Source organism: Homo sapiens, chromosome 12 (assembly GCF_000001405.40).
Source record: "Homo sapiens chromosome 12, GRCh38.p14 Primary Assembly".
NCBI classification, from domain to species: Eukaryota; Metazoa; Chordata; class Mammalia; order Primates; family Hominidae; genus Homo; species Homo sapiens.
Window position 1 is genome coordinate 40,933,288 of NC_000012.12, and position 23,265 is coordinate 40,956,552.

The 23,265-nt window shown below is 33.8% G+C and overlaps 1 protein-coding gene across 11 annotated transcripts in view; it reads left to right on the plus strand.

Annotated features, from left to right (window-relative positions):
- CNTN1 (contactin 1) overlaps window positions 1-23,265 on the plus strand; it is a 379,977-nt gene that overhangs the window by 240,849 nt on the left and 115,863 nt on the right. For all 11 annotated transcript variants that reach the window (XM_011537926.4, NM_001843.4, XM_024448843.2 and 8 more), the window contains 7 exons: window positions 174-273; window positions 410-591; window positions 3,494-3,618; window positions 4,283-4,400; window positions 6,048-6,198; window positions 10,310-10,437; window positions 10,708-10,883. In XM_011537926.4, the coding sequence (XP_011536228.1) occupies window positions 174-273; window positions 410-591; window positions 3,494-3,618; window positions 4,283-4,400; window positions 6,048-6,198; window positions 10,310-10,437; window positions 10,708-10,883 (980 nt within the window). The remainder of the gene's footprint in view (window positions 1-173; window positions 274-409; window positions 592-3,493; window positions 3,619-4,282; window positions 4,401-6,047; window positions 6,199-10,309; window positions 10,438-10,707; window positions 10,884-23,265) is intronic.

A 23,265-nucleotide genomic window follows, 5' to 3' on the forward strand; every position in this document is an offset into this window, starting at 1 on the left:
TATATTCATACTGTGCATAAACAAACAAGTCTATCCATTATGATATGACCTGTACCTGTACAGAGAAAAGCTTCCATGTTGGAGCAGCTCTAATCCTGTAGAATTACCATGTTTAAGAATAACTAATATTGTGCCTAATAATTAGTGGATATTTGTGTTTCTCTTAATATTAGGAACAACAAAACCATATCCTGCTGATATTGTAGTTCAGTTCAAGGATGTATATGCATTGATGGGCCAAAATGTGACCTTAGAATGTTTTGCACTTGGAAAGTAAGTATACTGACACTTTTATTAATATATATAGAAATAGTACCATTTTAGGAAATAAATAATTGTTTAGCTATAAACATAAAGTAATTGTCTTTTAAGTGTGTGAAACTTTAACCCTTGTATCTTCTATTTAAAGTCCTGTTCCGGATATCCGATGGCGGAAGGTTCTAGAACCAATGCCAAGCACTGCTGAGATTAGCACCTCTGGGGCTGTTCTTAAGATCTTCAATATTCAGCTAGAAGATGAAGGCATCTATGAATGTGAGGCTGAGAACATTAGAGGAAAGGATAAACATCAAGCAAGAATTTATGTTCAAGGTAGATACATTATTTTAATTTTGTATAAATTTCATCAGTATCTTATTTAGAGCCATTTCCATACATGAAAAACTACTATATAATGATTAATGGTTTTAAAAACAGTGATGCATGTTACATCATGGAGAAAGATAAAATATTTCTCATATGTCTAATGAAGTCACAACTATGAGTTATAGAAGTTACGAACTTATTACCAGTTGAACCATAGGTAATAGCAATAGATTGATAGAAGTGTTATTGGTAATTTTCAGAATATACACTTAATGTAGTTTGTTTACTCATTTTATCACTGTCTTTTTTCAGTATCTTTTTATTTATAGAAGAAGCTATGTGTTATGACTTAGTTTAAGTCAGTGGTTTGCAAACTTAAGCATGCATCAAAATCACATGGAGGGCTTGTTAAAACAGATTGCTGGGCCAAACTCTCAGAATTTTTCATTCAGAGGTCTGTTAGGGGCTCATGAATTTGTATTTTTAACAAATTCCCAAAGGATGCTGATAATATTGGTCCTGGAGTCACACTTTGAGAACCACTGGTTTAAGAAATCTTTTTTTTTTTTTTTGACAAAATTATCATGGCACAAACCTTTGATTTTCACACATTAAAATAAACTTACATTTGGGAAGACAGATTTTTTTTCAGGCCACACTGGAAACTTTCCAGACTGAAATAATTTCTATAATGTTCCACAACATGAACTTTGCAGGTCACAAGTGAATAAACATCGAGGGCTTCCACAATATTATTCGTTTTTAACTCTGGCTACTGTCCCATTTCACTTTCTCCCGTCTCTCCCAAAAAGGAATAAAAAATTTGACAGATTCACGCATTCTCTCTAAAAGTGTTGTCTCCATCTCCAGTTTTTCTTCTCTCTTAATTGCACTCCAACATGATTTGCATCTCTGCCTCTCCACAGAAACCTTTCTTTTCATGACCACAGACTTCCATATTGCTAAAGCTAATGATCAATTCTCAGTTGTACTTTTTTTTGATCTAACAGCAGTGGTTGCCACAGTTGGTCCCTCCCTTCTTCATGATTCACTTTCTGCACTTCATGTCTGCAACCTACTTTGTTATTAATTTCCTTGTATAATCTTTCATTCTCCATTGCCTTTCAACTCCATACTTTTCTAACATTGGTGTGATCAGGGTTCCATCTGTGAACCCCATCTCCATTTCAGTCACTCCATTTATGATCCCACTCGTGATCATGGCTTTAGACACACTCTGTACCCTGAATGCTCTAACCCAAACATTTACTCTGAACTTCAGACTCGTATGTCCAATGCCACAGTAACATTAATGCAATACATATCAAGTCTGCATGAAATGGCCTCCTAAAAGGAAGAAAATACTAGGTAAGGTCCTTTAAACTTTTGAAATAAATCCACCACTTTCTACTAGGTTTCTAAAGCTTATAGACCTGTTTTTATTCAACATATTAAGAAAACTACACTCCAGGTTCTCAACAGAGTAAAATTTTGAACTGTCTAATATCTAAAGCCTTAGAAGAACCAAGGTGACAGAGCACATATTTACAGAAGGTAATTTAAGAGAAATATTATTTATTCTTTACTAATGCAGCATACTAAGTATTATCTTTAGGTCTGATCACATCACTAGAAGGTTACATAATTAAGCCATATATAGACTGTGTCAAGCCAATTCAATTATTCATTACATGATGTAATAGAAAATGTCTGTGTTGTCTTTGTGAGGCCAAGACAGGAAGGGTGCTGATATTCCTGTATTATGTATTGCTAAGATTGTATACAAAATAAAACCTTTCTCCCTTACAATGAACATATCCACCAATAGTTTAAAAAATATCTCCCTATGTTACAAATATAATGATGAGTGAAAACATGTACTAAATAAGATTATATATGCTTTAAGATATATAGGTGTACATATGTCTACATGTATAATGTATACATTATAATGTATAATGTTGATGGTATTTGGTGAGATAAAAATGTTTTCTAGTTTTTAAATTTCTAGTATTTTATTACTTGTTAAATGTTTTTTATAAGATGCATATATTGCTTTTGCCATAAAATTAACACAAGTTCCCAGTTTCAAAGAAAATTAAATATTATTCTCCACTCAGGATTCTTTCTTCCTACTTCCTTTTTGTATTAATTTATTTATCTGCATTTATTTGGACTAGATAACTGAAATAATCAAAAAGACTGTCAAATTGTTTATTTGCTTGTTCTCTAAAAATATTTTTTCTTTGGAAAATTTTTAGCATTTTCTCATTTTTATGGATGTCTCTTTAGCTATCAAGTAGATCAGACTAAAGAATGAGACTGAGATCAATTTTACCAATGCATGGATTTCACCAATCATGGCTACTGTATATAGTTTCTAATATGGAAAGAGTATATTTAGGTGTCCAAGTCATTTTTCTAGCGCCAAAGTGAGATGTTACCGTGGCCACTAGCTGAAAGTTCCATCAAAATGAAGATAATGTATACCTGAGGGAGTGGGAAAAATATCTGAGTCTTTATCCAAAATGTTAAGAGATGGTATCATATTGAATTGAGATGTAATTCTTTAAAACCTCAATTATCATTTTGACAGACTTGAAAGGTTTATGTTATGAGCAGAAAAAAATCAGTTATTTTAGTAATAATTATAACTCAGCTTTTCAACAAAACATGATTTACAAATGGAAAAATAATGGCTGAGTTATAGTTACCTCCTGCTGTAATAATACAGGATTTGCGTAGGTTAAGCCTATGCAAAGACAAGGCCTATTACTGAGTTCAGGATGCATACACTATCTGATGTATTCTGCAGAATTAGGTTAACTAAATGTAATATTTATACTCTGGAGATTATGATGGATCTTGAGCCCTTCATTTAACATTTACAATGTTCCTTACTTTTTAGCATTCCCTGAGTGGGTAGAACACATCAATGACACAGAGGTGGACATAGGCAGTGATCTCTACTGGCCTTGTGTGGCCACAGGAAAGCCCATCCCTACAATCCGATGGTTGAAAAATGGATATGCGGTATGTATGTTCAAGTGCTTTGCTGTTCCTGAGTCCCTGTTCAAGCAGTGTTTCAGGGTAGTCCTGGGATAAATTTAGCAGGAGAGACAATACAGAAAGGGCACTTGGGCCCTGAAATATAAAAGCTTCCTAAAAAAGACAAAAACTGAACATAAAGTATCTTCTTTCAGTTTAAACAACTTTCTGTAATCTTACTCTACCTTCTCTCTCTCTCTCTCCTTATTTTTTTCCTTTGTTCCACTTTTCCACCCTCTTCCTACTCATCCATCTCCAATACCTGATATTGTCCTCTTTTTCTTGCCACTATTTTCCTGTACCCCACAGAGACAGAGGTAAGAGTGAAGCTCTAAGTCCTACCTTTGGCCCTGGGGACAAGTAGCAGCAGTGGGATTCTTCTCTACCTTCCCACTGTAATCTCCCAGCTGGTCCAAGAGGGGAAAAGGTGGACTCTCAGCTCTGTAGGATGAATAGAACAAGAGCCTTTGGGCATGGTAAGTGGGTTTTCCTTTCCCATGCCATGAAAATCCCACTCAGTTCATCTTAGGTAACAGTGGGGGCAGATGAACATAATGTATCTAAATGAAAAGACAACCAAACCCAGACCTAAGTGAAAGTATTTCTATTAAAGTTCATTGAGAATATGTTTCAATTTTATTCTTTTCAGTATCATAAAGGGGAATTAAGACTGTATGATGTGACTTTTGAAAATGCCGGAATGTATCAGTGCATAGCTGAAAACACATATGGAGCCATTTATGCAAATGCTGAGTTGAAGATCTTGGGTCAGTATCATTTCTAATTTCTGTTAAACATTGTTAAAGCAATATGTCATATCACACAAAATGTTTATTGAGCCTACACAAAATACCCAGTATTGTGTTAGGTGTACAACATATGTTGGTTGTTTACTGATTTATTTATTGCTAATTATCATAATTCAGACTAACGAAACAATGGAATAGAATGAATCTTTGCCACAACAAAAGTCTTCTTCAGAGCATCAGCAGCAGTGGCCATACCTAGGAGCACATTAGAAGTGCAGAATCCCAGGCTCACCCCAGACCTACTGAATGGACACTTTAAAAAGATACCCAGATGATTTTAATACAAAGATAATTTTGAGAATGACCAGACCAGAGGATGAAGAGTCAAAACCCAGATGAAGATATGCTTAGGCCTAGAAAAGCCTCCAGAAAGTACATAGTTACGGATGATTGTAATGTGTTGAAATATATGGATGAAATCTGCTTGGAGTCTGCCAAGGGAAGAGGAGAGTGAGCAGTGGATTAAATGTGTGGATGCTGAGGAAAGTCTGAGCATGACATCAATGAAGTAACCTTTTTTAAGCCTCTGTATTCTGTTCTAATAATTATTGCTCTGTACTTGGAGGTAATGATGAACTACAAATGATCATGTCTCCTTAATTAGTTGATTAGATCCATTATTCCCATAGCTGTTTATAGATAGATCCTGAAAGCAGGACTCCAATTATTTTGGCATTTTGCAGGGTGTTTGCATACAGATGATGCTCAGTAATTGTATAAAGAAGGAGAGACTGCATTGTTTAATGAAAAGTACATGCTTTGGAAACAGAAGGACCTAGATTCAAATGTGACTCCCACTTATTACTACCTGTGGTACCTTTGCCAAATTAAATAATCCTAATAGATTTCAATTTTCTCATTTATAAACTGGGAATAGTTCATTCAACATGTGGTTTAGAGGATTGACTAGGACCATATGTCAGTGTGTATAATGCTGGTCAATTTTTTCCAGCCTTTCACTTTACTTTCCTTGTGGAATTGAGTCAAAGCAACAGAATTCAGAGTTAATTTTAAGGTAAATGTGTATAAAACATTTGATTGAAATTGAAGTTATTTATTTATTGAGACAGGGTCTCACGGTGTTGCCCAGCCTGGAGTGCAGTGAGGCGATCACGCTTCACTGCAGCCTTGACCTTCTAGGTTCAGGTGATCCTCCACCTCAGCCTCCTGGATAGCTGGGACTACAGGCATGCACCAACATGCCCAGCTAATTTTTTTGTATTTTAGGTAGAGATGGAGTTTTGCCGTGTTACCCAGTCTGCTCTCAAACTCCTGGGTAAGCCATCTGCCCACCTCAGCCTCTGAAACTGCTGGGATTATAGGTGTGAGCCACCCATGCCTGGATTCTAATTAAAGTTTCTAATAATCAATTCAGTTATCATCAAGAATTGTACATTTGAATTGGGTGAATTTTATAAGTCAAAGTTATTAAATAAAAGTTACAAAGCATTAGGTATAGAATGCCTATTGGTGACAGCTGATCATATTTACCGAGATTAATCCTTTCCATTAACTATTAAGGAGAATAAAAGATTCTACAACACAGAAGCAATGTTTAGGCTTTACAAACAGAAAGAGAAAGATAACAATTTGTTTTCTTTTTAGCGTTGGCTCCAACTTTTGAAATGAATCCTATGAAGAAAAAGATCCTGGCTGCTAAAGGTGGAAGGGTGATAATTGAATGCAAACCTAAAGCTGCACCGAAACCAAAGTTTTCATGGAGTAAAGGGACAGAGTGGCTTGTCAATAGCAGCAGGTCAGTGCTGAAACTAGAAATCCAATTGCAAAATCTGTTTGAAAAAGTTTATTTTATAGAAGACTTGTTTATATGTTAATAATGAAAATGTTTTTTGCTCTGAATTTTTTTTTTCACAGAAGATCCTGTAGTTCTAAGATGGACAGAAATACCTATCCCTGTCAGTATCTATTATAATGAAGGTTTAATTAACAGGACTCTATAATGTATAAGGAATTTAGAAAATTGAAGCTCAGAGGTGTTTTTTTGTTGTCTTGTTGTTATAAATTGCCCAATGTCACACAGCTAATAAACAATGGGAAATAAAGTAGGATCTCTCTAACATATTTTTCCCCAGTATAGGCATCTGGCATCTATATCCATTCATATTCAACTGAATTTTGTGCAGTTAGCCTATTAAATATTTTTGTAGAAAAATAAAAAGGTGATTTCAAAGTGCAAATAATCTCTTCCTATCTCAAAATGAACAAGATGTTATCATCATCTTCCTTATAAATGGACCATCTACCAATGTTTTGGTGGTTTGGGGACAAAATGAAAAAGCAGTGTACAACTTATATAGATTATTTGTATAAAAGCCACACTGAATAGTTTATATGTATCCTAGAAGAAGTAATATTGAGTGCAAAAATTATGACGAGGAGAAAGCCAGGATGGGAAATGGGAGGGATGGGATGTGTGGGTTGGCTTGAGGGTGTATGTGAGGGTGTATGTGAGGGTGTATGTGAATGTGAGGGCAGCATGTACAAAGGCCCTATGGTGAGGAGTTTAGAATGTGTAAGAAATTGCAGAAACTGAAATCAGTGTGATTTGTCTTTAGAGGAAAATGGAGGAGACTTTTAAGAGATGAGACATAGTAAGCCACATCATAAATGACAAAGTTTTCTATGCTAAGGGGCTTGGGCTTCATCTAAGAGTAATATAAATCTGTTTAAAGTCTTAAACAAGGGAGGACAAGGATCACTTTTGTCATTTGAAAGACTGTTATTACTCAGATGTAGAAAATACATTATTTTCTTCACAGTAACCCAATAAAGTAACATGGGAATTATCATCCATATTTTGATGTGTCTAAAGCTTGGTAAAGTTAAAGTGACCTTCTGCAAAAATATATTCATGCTATCTAAACTAGAACTTGAAGTTGTAAGACATTGATATAAATTGAGAATATGCCAGCACAGCCCTCTTATTAGGATGAGCACAGGCACGGCTGTTTATGGAATGGGGCAAGAGGGCAGGGACATCAGGGGCTTCCCTGAACACACTGACTTTTAAAGTTAATATGTTTGACCTCAGGGTTGTTAAGATTTTAACAAAATGATACTACAAGAAGGGTTAAAGGAAAAGTCCATTTGTTCAATTTGCCGCTGAAACATTAATGGTCAGACAATGAGCAATGCAGAGACCATGATCAAAGGGCAGCTACATGTGTAGGTGCTTACTCCTTCCACAGCCTAGAGCAGGGCATTCCCCAATGGACAAACCATTAGTTCTCTTCCGTGATAATAAAATCTTTTTCTGATTCTGATGAAGACCCATGTCATGGACCTCTTCAACCAAGGATTTCCCAGAACTATGTTTCATGGACTTGTTTTTCCTAAATATCAATATGTGTTCAAAAAAAGAAGAGAAAGATCTAGCTCCTGAAATTTTACAAGTTTGATTGTGTTCTGATATTTTTAAAGCCTTTGAAATCAAATTGCATTATTTCCTTGATTAAAGAGTCTATAAATCTAATTTTTACTTAGTACTTTAACCCATTACTATCTCAGTGTAAATACTATTTAATAGTAGATATAGTATTCATATGCAAATATATTTGAATTGTAAAATAAGATGTATAAAAAGCTAAACATAAAAATTTTGGTGTCTATTTTGAAAAAGAATACACAAGGACTAACTAAATATTGGTCTTTAAGCATAAATATAATCTTATTCTTCTGAATATAATTATAAACAACATTTCCACGTAACTAAGTTATTTCTGTATCTGGTTAGTGCCTAAAGAGTGGTTTATATGATATTTGGAAGAAGCTATGTATCTTGATAAATAGTAATTAGGTTTTCATTTTATGATTTTATTTTTGGCTCAAATGATATATTTTCTGCAGCAGAATTTCTTTGTAATTAGCAGAATTAAGTTAGTTGCTAATTTAAATTCAATGGATTGCTATTAGCTCTAAGGTCACTTTTATTTAAACCACTTATAGGAAGGGATCTTCATTAGTCTTTTCTACTCCAGAGGTTATTCTGGAGTAATTTTGGTACCAATAAGTGACCAATTGGTTAAAGACCAGATTGTTCCTAGTTTGTTTGACAGCTGATCTATATCATAGTATCTGGAAATAAGGATAAGATCTTGAGAGTTTAGTCTATATTACTTTAAGAATAAAGAGAATTATTACAAAAAAATCAGGTTTTCTAAATATTTTTATTAAAAAGTAATTTTAATCTCAAAGGCAAAGTACCTGAAAGTATAAATGAGACGAATGACACATGGAATTATGTATACCCTTTAAAGATGGTAAAAGATCAATTGAAAACTAACATAAGTAAGCTAAAAATATTAGCATGATTTAAGAAAGAATCATCATTGTTTTTTCCACTGCTACTTCATTATAATTTTTGTTGTGCTTCTTGAAAAATAATTAAATGAAAGGGATGTGGGAACTTGGCTGAGGATTTATACTAGAGGGTAGTGAGAAAAAGTGTGACCCATTAATATTGGTACTGTGTTAATATGTGTCCTCCAAGAAGCTGAAGCCAGGAAGATTAGCTATGTAAGAAATTAATTAATGGCAATGCATGGGAGGGAAAATAGAGAGGAAGCTGGTGGAGGCTTGGAAAAGTATTTTACTGAGATACAGGTCTGATCCCAGATGAAGGACAGAGGGAAGGAAGGAAAAAAGATTGTGTTGAAATGACTTGGACTGCACTGCACTTCTAAGAGTATGGTCATGCCACTGGAAAGTCTTCCATTCAAAAATGCATATCAGAGGAGTTTGCTGTCTTCCAGGAGCAGGCCTGGTTTAAAATTCCTCCCATGGTCAGTCATTGGCTAAGAACAGCCTGTGGAATGTGTGGCTTTGAATAAACACAGTGATGGATTTCTGAGTACGGCGTCTGGGACAGAGAATAAATTACACTCCTCAGAGTTGGAGAGTGGCATATTCTCAGAGCTTCCATGATCTTAAATAATTACTTTTATCATTATATTATTTTGATACTTCATTTCTCCTTCAACAACAAAAAGTACTCTGAAATGAGCTTCAAGTCAGGACTGGATTGTTCAAGAAAGGAAAGGAAATCCTGGACTATAATGTTAGCGGAAATTTTGTTATTTTCTTATATGAAGATTTTTATCAGTAAGGTAGATAGTTTTGCTTCTTTTATCAGACTTTGCCCTTAAAATGGATATACGTTTGCATGTTTTGTGCAAACTTTCAAAGATAATTTAGTTTTGAAAATTATCTATTTAAAGAAAGTAAAAAATCCAATGACAGGCAATTCAATATTTAATCTAAGTGTGAGTTTCTATACAATAAAACTTAGTGAGTTTTTAGTGTCCATCCCCTGAGGAAGAGGCTGACAGGTAGGGAAATATGTGTAGTATGAAAGACTTAGTTTCTGTTCAAAGAAGAATTTCCTAAATATTAATTTGTTCCAGAAGTTGTTACTAAGGAGGTTTTAAAATATTTTTTAAAGTTTCTAAAAATAAAATACATTTATATTTCTCTGTAGCCATGGAAATGGCAATCTGTCCTCACCTCCTAGTCTGAATTGAAGTCCTGAGGTTACATTTCTGGGAGACCGGGGCTCATTTCTTTCAGGCCTATGACTGATTTCAGCCTGTCCCATAGTGGAAGGTCAGTTAGAAGACTACGGCAATAGTTCAAGAAAAAGATGAAAGTGGATTTCCAAAACAAAATGTCAATGATGAGAAAAAATATTATAACTAAAGGCTAGAATTTGTCATCTTACAAAAATGTCTGTGGTCGCATGATTTATATAGAATGTAATAATTGAAAAATATTAGTGTTTGTAATCTAAGACATAATAATGTATTTTACTAAATCAGGTTTGTGAATTATATATATTTTTATTTCACTAGAATACTCATTTGGGAAGATGGTAGCTTGGAAATCAACAACATTACAAGGAATGATGGAGGTATCTATACATGCTTTGCAGAAAATAACAGAGGGAAAGCTAATAGCACTGGAACCCTTGTTATCACAGGTAAGTTAATGTTTGAGGGTGCTTAATTTCTAATGTATTAAAAAACATGATTCAGCACTAAGCATCTAAACAGTCAATGTATTTGTAAGTTTCTTTTTCAAAAGAATTTCAGGCAAGTTTCTTGCTTGATGATATTGTTCTTGGAATTTGGAAGTGAAAACATCTTATTATTTTGCACAAATAAAAATATATTGGTTATTATTTTAATATACCAGATAATATTGTGTCTTATATCTTCTTGAATTGTGCTTTACATTTAAAAATATATAGATCCTACGCGAATTATATTGGCCCCAATTAATGCCGATATCACAGTTGGAGAAAACGCCACCATGCAGTGTGCTGCGTCCTTTGATCCTGCCTTGGATCTCACATTTGTTTGGTCCTTCAATGGCTATGTGATCGATTTTAACAAAGAGAATATTCACTACCAGAGGAATTTTATGGTATGTGTTTTAAGTTTCATCTTATTAACACCCCAGTGATTCCTATGTGTCTGCATTGAAAGTTCTATTACTATAATCACATTTTATATCATCTTTGTTTTTCATGAGACCAAAAAGCAGGCAAAAAAGCTTTCTGTGGTTCTCCTTATATTAACTGTTGTACTGCTAAATCTTTCTAAAATGGCTAGCCCTGAGGATTTTGGTATAAATATTAATCAATTAATATTAATTGGGCTTTAGGTATGATTTCCCCCTTAATTTTAATACAATTGATGTGTATTACATCAGTATATATGTGCCCTTGGTTCTAGTGCCTTCCTTTTTACTTTAAATGAAGAGCATAGAACTTAATCTTTGTTATAATGATGATCTTAAAGCATTTATGTTATGCTTTAAGAGTAAGAAAGAGACAAAATTATATATGTTGGAGAATTTGGAGAATTAGTTTATGTGATTTGAAGAGGGTTAAATGGCTATATTTTAAGAATTGAAAGGTGTTACATTCTACAAGTCCTATAGTTAAACATAGTGATATAGAGAGTCAAGGTGTAGAAAGAAATAAAATAGAGGGAAAAGACTGAGAAGTAATGCAGGCAAAACAACTTGTGTAAGAACATTGTTGGTGTCTTGGTAGGCTGTCTAGGTTACAGTGTATTTAAAAAGTAAATTAATCACTGGCCCTATCAGCCTCTTCTTTAGAAAAGCAAACATTTGTAAGACTAAGGACATATTTAGAACATAGGCATAATTAGGAAAACTTTTATTTTAGAAGTCAGTTATTAATATAAAAAAGAAGCACAAATGAACTCAGTAGGACATTTAGGATTGTTTAAGTCCCATAAAATCTGAAGATTGATATGTACACATTATTATATTATGCTTTCATATTGTCCAGCTATGTTTTTAGCTTTAGAAGAGTTGTAATTTAACTGATCTAGCTACAACTGTACACCTCTAGTAAACATACCAATACTCTTTCAGTTTCTGAACCAAAATTATACTTTAAAGAATAACAATTGAGAATTGGCAGAGAACTGTAAATTTTGTATTTTGACATTATATACCATGTAATATATTTTCCTTATAGATCTGAAACTATTTTGCACATGCCCAAAATTAGTCAAATTGGCACCAAAATCTCCAATACTTTATTTAAAGTGTATTTTATTTTGCAAGAAAAGTAAATACAACTTGGGTTTTATTCATTTTAAAGGAAAAAAGTAAGCTAAACAGGGATCTTACTTTCTCAAAAAGTAGGCTTCTGAATTTGAAAGAATTATCTTTGGTGTTATAAATTGAATAATTTCAAAAGTAAAGTCTAGAAGTTCCACAACCATAGTTTATAAAGTAGTAACTAATAGCTGCAATGAAGTCTATGTAAATAAATTTGCAGACAAAAATTGCCCTAAACTGAAACTTCATATTTAGAGCTTATTTATATTCTTTAAAATACTAATTACATTGTGCTGGTACATGTAAATAATGACTGCAAAAAGAAAATGGAAAAAAAAAGGAATTTAAAGAGAAAGAAAAATAGATCCCAGTCCCCTTTAAAAAAAAAAACAGGAAAACAAAGAAATAACTGGAATACTAATTAGGAAACAAATAATAAATTAGACCATAAAAATGTAAAAGACCTTGTGGCCACTTAGTGCACACTCTCCCTTTTCAGATGATAGCTGCAGAGATTCACATAGTTACCCCTCCAGCTAATCCAGAGCAGAGTCCTGACCGCAGGCTCACCACCTCAGGTTTCAGTTCATTCCATCAAATAATGATCTGACAGTGGGAGCAAACCTACTCAACTGACTAGATAAGCATCTTAATTGAATCAGAATATCAAATGCACATGTTTAGCATGTCATAGATGGACAGATGCATTCAATTATCTCGATTTTTAAAAAGCCTGGATAAGAATCATTTTAAAATAAATAATTAAACTGAATTCTATCTTTCAAACCAACACAAGACTAATGAAGCTATCCCTGGCACCTTCCTTCTCTTTTAAGGCAAACTACAAAGTTAAACTTCACTGGTCAATATGCCATGCAAAATTTAAGTAAAAACGCTATAAATATTTGATCCACCTTTTGGAAGATAGTCCTAACAGCTATTAATTGCTTCTAGGATTGTTAATAGATCATTCTCAGAATTAGTGGCTCCTCCTATGAAAATCTTAGTGAATATATATATGTCTCTTAAATAATGATTTGGTATTTTATGTAGTTCTCCCAATATTTCAACAATTGAATAGCATTTGTTCATTAAGAATATGTACTAAGCACATGCCATAAGCAGACACAGTTGTAGGCACTAGGTTAAATAAAACACTGAAATAGACATGGACACCAGCCCAAAATAAACCAATGATACCCCAAGAGTTTAAGATTCAGATGTAAATGTTTTTTGGTAGCTATTACAGTTAACAAAACCAACATAATTAACATGTTCTAACAATTTTCATTGCTAAAAACTAATACAGGAAGTTCTGACTAATAATAAAAAGGAATAGGGAAATCAAATTTTAAACTTTTTATTTCAAGAACCTAAGTTTTTATTTTCCAATTTAGTTTCAATAATAAATTGAATTCAATAATTAAGTATGCACTGATTTTAGCTTGCTATTCTTGATTTTAACCACTAAGGGGCAACCTTGTATAAGGATTCAAATTTCACAGCCCGGTGTAATTTGGGACTTCTTTTCCTTCATGAAATTAAACAAATGCATTTGCTCCTACTTATGAATAAATTGTGAGATTATAGGTGATTTTTAAATGTCTTCTTTATATTTTTTCTAATTAAAGTTATGTAATTATTAGGAAAAATGTAACTGTACATTTTTAAAGATGTATATTTCTTTTAAGAGTTTAATGGGAACACCAAAAAAGCAAAAATAACACTGTCTTTGTATTTAGTAATCCTACTTTATGTAAAACTTTGGGATTAATTTATTTTTTAATGTAACTTTCAATTTTAAGGCAGTAATTGCACACCTAGTACTGATTATAGAAAAACACTAAGGAGTTAAACATCTAAAAATTTCCTGAGTATTATATTAATATGTAATAATTGTCAGATGTTCCACTGGAACTTGAACTCATGCATGGGGGATGTTAAAAATACAAGCTCGAAGCAGAAATTTAATAAATCTGAGGCTTTGATACAATAAGATATTAAAGCAGTTTATCTGCCATTCTTTTATTTTGTTGATGTTATATGGCAAATGATCATAAATGTTTCAAGTCCAATTATAAAGTGGCTCCTGTTTTGGCTTTCTAATTCAATAGCTACTTAATGCCTTGGAGTAAATACAAAAGGCAGAGCCATTTTATTTATTCATTTAATGTATAACTTTTCTTGTTCCAGAAAAGACTTAAGACAATCTATCAAAAATATGAATTTTAAATATCTCATTTTATTCCTCTTTCAAGGTGGCACCTAACCTGTAGAATTTTTCAGTAGCCCTCAATTTTTGACATTCACTTTGGGTCATTTTCTTTCAACTGTTTAACAACATTCCCTGCTTAGAGCCATTAAGTTAGTTAATTACATGAGTTCCTTAAAATTTCCAGTTTTGGAGATTGTCACTATTTCATATATATATATATATATACACACACACACACACACACACACACACACACACACACACACACACATATGTATTACTCTTATTACAAATACATGTTAAATTTGTAATACTGTGGGACATTATTGCCTGTCTTATATGAATTCATAAATATCACTTGAATTGTTCAGAGATTGTGTCACAAACCAACCTGGGCTTTAGGCTTCATTTTCTCACCTCTTATGTGGTGACTCTGATCCAGGGATTAAAATTCTCTAAGCCTCAGAATTTCCCTCTGTAAAACGTGATTAATCATTCACTTACTTCATTCAGGTTACTTCACTGGGTTTGAAAAACTAGTTACTTCATGAAAGAGTGCATATAGAGACTTGGCACAGCATCTGAGAGTATTGGGGACACGAATAAAGTATATAAGTGGTTATTAATACTTTTTATAAGAGAGCAATCATCCCCCATTGGAAATTCCAGAAGCTTTTGCTAGCTAGTTTTTCTTTCTTTCTTTTTTTTTTTTTTTTTTTTTTTGAGCCACAGATCTCATTTTTCACAATTTAATACTTGCACTGCTTGCTGTGCTGGATACTTAGACTGAGACCAAAAAAAAAAAAAAATCTGGGTATTTCATTGCTGAAGGCAGTGAAGAGGTAATAATAGCCAACATTTATTGTGGGCTTACTGTTTAGACAGAATTGGGTTAAATGTTTTTCACATATTTCTCAGTTGATCTTCACAGAAATCCTCTGTGGAGTGCATATTATTGTGATTTTCTCAGTTTTCAAAGTGAGGAAAGTGAGTATTAGAAAAGTTGAGTAACTGGTCCCATGTAATCATACAAGTCGCTAGAGGCTAACAGAAGATTTGATACCAGGTGGCCTGACTGCCAACCCTGTAATCTCCACCACTTTGATTCATCTTTTGGTTAATGTTCATGTCTGTGTCTATTTAAATAATTCTCCCATAAGTATTTGATGCTCTACAAGGCAATACTGTTCAATTCACATTTTATTCTCTAATCTGGTTTAATGAACCTTGTATGCTCACTCAGATTGCCCAAATTACTTCATTCTCCCTACACTGTTGGCCACCTTTGCAATACACTGTAAGTCATGTCTACACAGTTTCAAGTGGTCTAACTATGAAGTTCCTGGCAATTCCTAATGATCCCCTGTAGACAGGTATGCTAGGTGTGTGTTTGCAGGTATGTGGGTGTGCATTTTTTCTGAGTGCATAAGCAATACCATTCAAGAGAGAAGAAGACAGATTTCTCACCCAAACGTTATTTTCCTTTTTTAAAGAAAAATTTTATTAAACATATCAAAAAAGGTCTTTAGATTTTACAAATATGTATTTAAAACTAGATCATGCTGTGATCTTGTACAGAAATTTTGTTTCTGCAAGACAAGAAAAAGGAGAGGAAAAATGATAAAACAGAAGTCAATTTGTTTTTTTTTTTGTTTTTTTACAATTTAATCTTTTATTTTTATTTACATTTTATGTAGAATGCTTATAACTAGAAAGAAAGGTTTCTTTTTTTATATACTTTAAGTTTTAGGGTACATGTGCACATTGTGCAGGTCACATATGTATACATGTGCCATGCTGGTGCGCTGCACCCACTAACTCGTCATCTAGCATTAGGTATATCTCCCGATGCTATCCCTACCCCCCCTCCCCCCACCCCACAACAGTCCCCAGAGTGTGATATTCCCCTTCCTGTGTCCATGTGATCTCATTGTTCAATATTTCATTGTCTCTATTCACTATTTTGGTTGTTGTTGCTGTTTTTGTGGGTTTTCTTCTTTTCTTTTCTTTCTTTTTTTTTTTTTTTTTTTTTTTTTTGAGACGTAGGTTAGCTCTTGTTGCCCAGGCTGGAGTGCAATGACGCAATCTCGGCTCACTGCAACCTCTCCCAGGTTCAAGTAATTCTCTGGCCTCAGCCTCCCAAGTAGCTGGGATTGCAGGTGCCTGCCACCACACCTGACCATTTTTTTGTATTTTTAGTAGAGATGGGGTTTCACCATCTTGGCCAGGCTGGTCTCGAACTCCTGACCTCAGGTGATCCACCCGCCTCGGCCTCCCAAAGCACTGGGGTTACAGGCATGAGCCACCGCACCCGGCCTCTATTCACTGTTGAACAAGAAGGTTAAGATTATCCAGAATTATGTGGGAGAAAACGAGGACGGTTGGGCAATAATCCTTGGTAAGAATCAGATTCGAGCCGAAAAAAATTAGAGCAGGATACCAGGCAGCCACAGGGAGATCGTGGAAGCCCTGAAGTATTGTAACTTTGGTCCCATGTGGAGACATTTTTGGTTATCACAACTGTAGAGGTGTTGAGAGGGTGTGTGTGTGTGTGTGTGTGTGTGTGTGTGTGTGTGTGTGTGTGTATTGCATCTATTTAGCTATTAAATATCCTATAATGCACAAGACAGATTCCAAAAACCTAGTATTATCTGGCCCAAATTATCGATAGAACCAAGCTTGAGAAACGTCCTCAAGAAAGATATTAAAAAAGAGACTTAGCAATACTGGGACTAGCCACTGCAAGGTTTTAAGCATGATGTATTGGAAACAAAGAGATGTTATATTGTTTTGAGCATCTGAGAGTATTGGGGACACGAATAAAAAGAAACTAGATTTTTCAAAATGCATATCCAAAATAGTTTAAGTAGTAGAGGATGGGTTTTATGTGCTTCTTGAATTTAAGACTCTTAAATTTTGATGAGCAGTGGAAAAGAGGGAGAAATACATAAAAAGTATACAGGCTCCTGGCACAGTCTTGTGACACACAAAACATACAAAAGCATTCGGCCAATGTCAAATTGCTCTATTTTTCTTATCAGTAGTTAGTTGGAAAAGAGTTAATTAGATAATTCTATCATACTTCATTCTGTATGAATATATAACTTTTCTGATCCCCTTTTTACTACCTTAATAAACCTTTACTGATACCTAACTGCTATATTTTATTTGCTATTTACCAGTGTTAAACGAAGGAAGGTATCTATGTTCCTGGGTGTGTTTTCAGTTGGGCTAGCTTCTTTTAAGATCATCACACTTCCCATGTATAGACCATGTTAGCTGATGTCACTCTCTAGCCTAACTTCTCATAGTCCTTACTAAGCATTTGTTGATAAGAATGCCAGGTGAATGGAATTAAGCATATATATATATAAGAATGCCAGGTGAATGGAATTAAGCATATATATATAATATAATATATAAAATGTCCATTCTGATCACTTTTTTCTACAAAGTGGTCCAAGAAGATTTTTAGAACTCTAAAGCTAAGGGGAACCAACTTGAAAACCATATAAATTAAATGATATATGAGTTGTATTTCAACTCTAAAACATAGGTTCCAAATCAAAGGCATTGATGTTTTTGTCCATCATTCAAAATGCTTAGGAGAAACCTCAAAGAAAATGGTCTTTTGAGTTTTCATTTAAAATGGCCAGCTGATCAAAATTGGACTCTTCAGCTGTCATTCTCGTTGTTTATTACATACAAAAATAGCCAAATTTAGAGATTTTCAACACGTCTACTCTTAATTTATATGCAAACACACTCTTAGTAATTATCTTAGTAATCTTAGAAATTATCCTGGACAACTTGCCTTATTTATTTTTTTGTATGTCCAATGACATCACTTCACTTTAATAAGTTGTTTTGTCATTTTATTTATGTTTTTGACTCAATCTTAATATTGATGCATTTCTTAAAATAACCCTAACAAAAACTAGATAACATTAGAGAATTACTGTTAATTATGTTATGTGTGAAAATGGTTTTGCATACAAAAATTGGCCTAGGGTGGTGGTGCACACCTGTAATCCCAGCTACTCGAGAGGCTGAGGCATGAGAATCATTTGAACCCAGGAGGTGGAGGTTGCAGTGAGCCCAGACTGTGCCACTGCACTCCAGCCTGGGTGAAAGAGTGAGACTTTGTCTCAAAATTTAAAAAAAAAAAAAAAAAAAAAAAAAAAGAAGAAAAGGAAAATGGTTTTGTGATTATGTAAGAAAATGACCTCAATTTTTTGAGATTCAAGCTAATGTCTTTAGAAATTGCTGATGAGTTGATGAGTTGAGTAGTATTGATATCATAATATCCGGAATTTATTTTTCAAGTGTTCAGTCCTAGACAGAAAGACAGAGATAGTGGACAGAGAGAAGTAAATATAGAGCTAGTTAGCTAGACAATTAGATAAGGCAAATATGGCAAAAAGTTTACAATTGTTAATCTAGTTGGCTGGTTTATAGATGGTGATAGTACTATTCTTTCTACTTATGCTTGAAAATTTAAATAGCAAAAAAATAAGTAAAATAACAACATATCATATATGAAGAAGCACCACATCTACTTACCAAACACTAAATCCAGTTATCTGATCTATTAAGCACTACCTTGGAAACAGCTTGACTTGGTGAAACTAGGGCTATATATTACCTATGGAGCCTTCCACAAGTAGCTTAATGTAAAATCTCAAGGTCCTTATTTCTAAAATGGGAATATTAATAGTAAATCTTTGGGTAGTGTTACTTCTGGAACTCAGAAGTGAAAAGGAGATAGTCCTAGTTTCATTATTAGGGCTATGAAATTATAAATATAATTACATAAATTGAATAAGAAAATGTATGTAAAGTAGCTAGCACATTGCTAGACATTTAAAAAACATTCAGTAAATTAGATTTGGTAATAGTAGGAGTTCAATAGTAGTATCAGTAGTGGCAGTAACAATAGAAGTTATATTAGCCATTTTAATAGTAATAGGAGCAGTTTTAGTAGTATTAATAGCGACACTAGTAATATTAGTGGCTATAGTTATAGTAGTTTTGTGTCTTCCTCTGTAAAATACAGCTAAAAATAGTACGTATCTCATAGGCTTGTTATTAAGAGTAAGTCAGTTCGCATGTATATTTATAACAACCTTTGACACCTAGTTAACCCTAATTAAATATCTGCTGTTAGTAGAGTTGGTGGTGGTAGTAATGTTTGCAGTTGGATATGACATATTTGCTATAGTATTTTTGCTTTCTCTACTCTAACAAGCCAAAAGTAAAGAAGAAACGTTTTATTATTTCATGGATATAGCATATATCAGACATATTTAATAATTTTTATGTTTGTGAAACATATTCTTTAAAGGATGCACTTCTTTCCAAACATCTATATCTCTCCCTTTACTCTGAACTTGAATGGAACAAATTATTTAAATGACAATTATGAGCTCTAAGTTTTATCTAGACCTTTTCTGTACCATATAGAATCTTTCTTTGTTCACTAAGATTAATTCAATTTGTTAATACAGCGTCATCACTGAGACTCATTTACATTGCAGAAATGATTTTGCAGTTAGTTTACGGGGGAAGGTGAAGGAAGGGCTGGGTATTTATATGTTGGAAGTCTTTTGATTTAAACTTGGGAAACTTCTAAGTGGTCAACCACATATACACTTTGGAACATCCCTGAGCTTTGCTATCACAATTTCCAGTATGTGATTCAACTCTCCTCATCTGAAGGGAGGAATTTTGTAATTGAGCCAAGCTGTGGCTTTTAGTAAAAATACAGTGAGCATTTGTATCTAATTTGTGGCTAGAATGTGCTGAGGCCCATGATCTTTACTTGCTTTGTAAGCGTTCTGCCAACCACTGAGGACCTCAACTTCTCTTGAGGTATGGAAAGTGCTAGTAGTATTTACAAAAACTTTAGGAGTGCTTTCATACATACACAACTATATTGGGAATGATACTTTATATTTTTTCTTCTTTCCTTCTGAGAAGTTTTATTGCTACATGTTCACCAAATGTAGAACCAGTGAGAATAAACATTACAGTTGCTTCTTACTGCTTTATGCAAGTGGGCTTATCGATAAAAGAGTTAATTTTCAAACTAGTTTAACATTAAACTTTTAGAGTAGTTTAAAAATCGTAAAAGAGTTCATGGTGAAAAATTAATAAATATAAATTTAATATAATGTATTCTAGGATATAAAACAGTTTGTGCTTTTTATTACATGTGACAGTATAAGAAGAATGACCACATTATTCCTATCAGAATAAAATAAGTGAATGTATAAACAGCACCATGTTTCAAAGAGAGTTTAGGGAAAAAAGATAGCAATTTCATTAAGAAAGAAAGAAGATTAGATACATCACATAAATATTTTTAAAAGGGCAATTATGATACCACAATATGTTTATTTTTATATTACTTTCTGCCCTCAATTTTTTGTTGTAAAGTTCAATGAAGAAACATTTTAAATTGCTAAGGTGATTTTTTTGAAAATTCAAATCTAATGACATGGCTCATTGAAATAGTGGGAGTTTAGTAACAGGGTTATCTTTCAATTAGACACCGAAGCAACCAAAGTACTGAGTTCATTTAATGAATAAATACCAAAAAAGTGCTTTTTACTTGTATGCAGACATTATTCTTTCCAAATATAACTATCATTTTGTGTCGTAATAGTTTGAAAGATTTTACTTAATACATTTATATTATTGAATATTTAGTATCAAGTGCATTTGTATTAAGGATGTCAAGAAACATCAAAACAGTCTATTTAACAAATATGTAATGTTTATTTTATTTTACAATAATTATTTTATATTTTATTTTTCCTCACTAAAAATTACTTAGACATATATGTCAATTAACTTTTATGATAGACCAAGAAAAACTCATATTTACCTTCTCTATATATGAATCTTATTCTCTGCTTACCTCAAAAAAAATTTTAATATAAGTAATAAAATAACATCTTTTACCTCCTTTGTTAGATGAATTCTATTTAGTATAAGAAGTTAGGCCAGCTGCAAAGTTGGGCACAGTCCCCCAAACCACCCTCACTTCTGACACCAACTGCAAGTTCAAGGGGTTGCAAAAATCACCCTCAGTTTCCATGCTTCGCTAGAAGGTATTCACAGAATTCTCTTAAAGCTGTTATATACATGGGTACAGCTTCTTACAGGAGAAGGATACAAATTAAAATTAGCCAAAGGAAAAAGCACACAGGGCAGAGTCAAGAAGTACAAAACACAGAGCTTCTATTATCTTCTCCCCGTGCAGTTAAAATGCATTACTCTGACTGCTCTGATGTGTGACAGTATGCTTGAAGTACTGCCAACCAGCAAAGCTTACCAAGCCTTTCTGTCCAGAGTTTTTGGGGGGACTTCATCAACTAGACATGATTGATGGACTCATTGCTCACATGGTTAATCTCAGTCTCTAGGTTGACTGATACCACATGAATCGAAGACCCTACTCTAAGTCAAAATGTCCTATTTGTGGCATGACCAGGCCCTTCTCTAAGACTCTACAGGTGTAGTTAACTCTTGCCCGAAATCACATGGTTGGATTTTCCAGTATGACCCAACTCCTACTCTATGACCAGCCCCAGCTTGAAGACTATAGAGGTGTGGCTAACCCCTACTCTAAATCATATGATTGGACTATCCTGTATGACCCAAGACTTCCCAAGCAAAGAAAGATATTATAGAGATTACCTTCTAGAAGCTGAGGGCAATGGCAAGACCTCTCTTTGGGCAAGGCTAAACTCTTTACTACACATAGGGGTGGGAAAAGTTAGAAGTTCAGTTTTCTTGTATGTTAGTGATATTGTTTTCTCTATAAATTTTCACACCTTCCCAATAACCTTTCTATTTTCTTATGAAAATAGTGTATAGATATTTGAAATATATCATTCCTGGTAGTTTATCTCATAGATATGGATAGCAATAGTTTTTCTCAAGTCAGTTATTTTATCTCATAACATTATCATTATCTTACCTGAAAAAACCATTTGAAATTACTGAAAGAATGTCTATTTAATAAAAACACTTTAGATTATTTTAATGTATCTATTCAATATTTGTTGAATTCTCTTGTATGTCAGATATTACATTAAGTACTTTGTATGTAATAATAAATAAGACCTGGTTCTTTCCTTAAGGAATTACAGTCTAGTGGAAGAAATCAACAGTGACACGATTACGGTAGAAAGGAATAGTTACAATGAAACTGTACAGAGGGCAATAACTAATCCAGCCTTACAATTTCAGATATGGGAGGGGTATCCAAAATGTGGGTTGAACATTCATAGCCAAGTAATGGAAGTGGGAGGTGGGGCAATCCAGGCAATGCAAGTGATATATGCAAAGTTTTGACGTGAGAACACATAGCAAAGTATACCCTATTCACTGTGGCTGGGGCACAGGAGTTAGGTGCAGGGGTAATCTGTGGAGGCTGAAGGTGTGTGTACTTCACTCTCACACAAGAAAAGCCTCATTATTTGTTTAGTAAATGCTGTCACTGTCATGGGTTATATGTACTTGCTAACATAATTCTGAATGTAGCTGAAAAGAAGTGAATACATATTATCTTAAGAGCAGATACCAAAATTCTTGACAATTTGACAAGTTCATTCAAACAAGGCATATTTAGCGTGATTATTTGCTTGGCACTGTGCTGGACTTGAGAAGACAGCGCATACAGCTGTATACATATATAACACAGGGATACAACATGTCTGCTAAATAAAACAGACGTATTTCCTCACATCAAACTTATAGTCGGCCAGGGAGAACAACTTCAACCACATAATCACAAAAGTGTTTAACTGCATTTACGATATGTAATATGACAGAAGTTTCATGGTAGCATAATAAAATATAGAAAGGGTACCTGCCTAGTCCACAGAAAATGGAAAGACTTGCTGGAGAAAATGATTTCAACTGGTATTGGGTAGAGGTGAAGGTGATAGGGGAGGGGGTATTGAGGTTATGAGGGGTATGAAT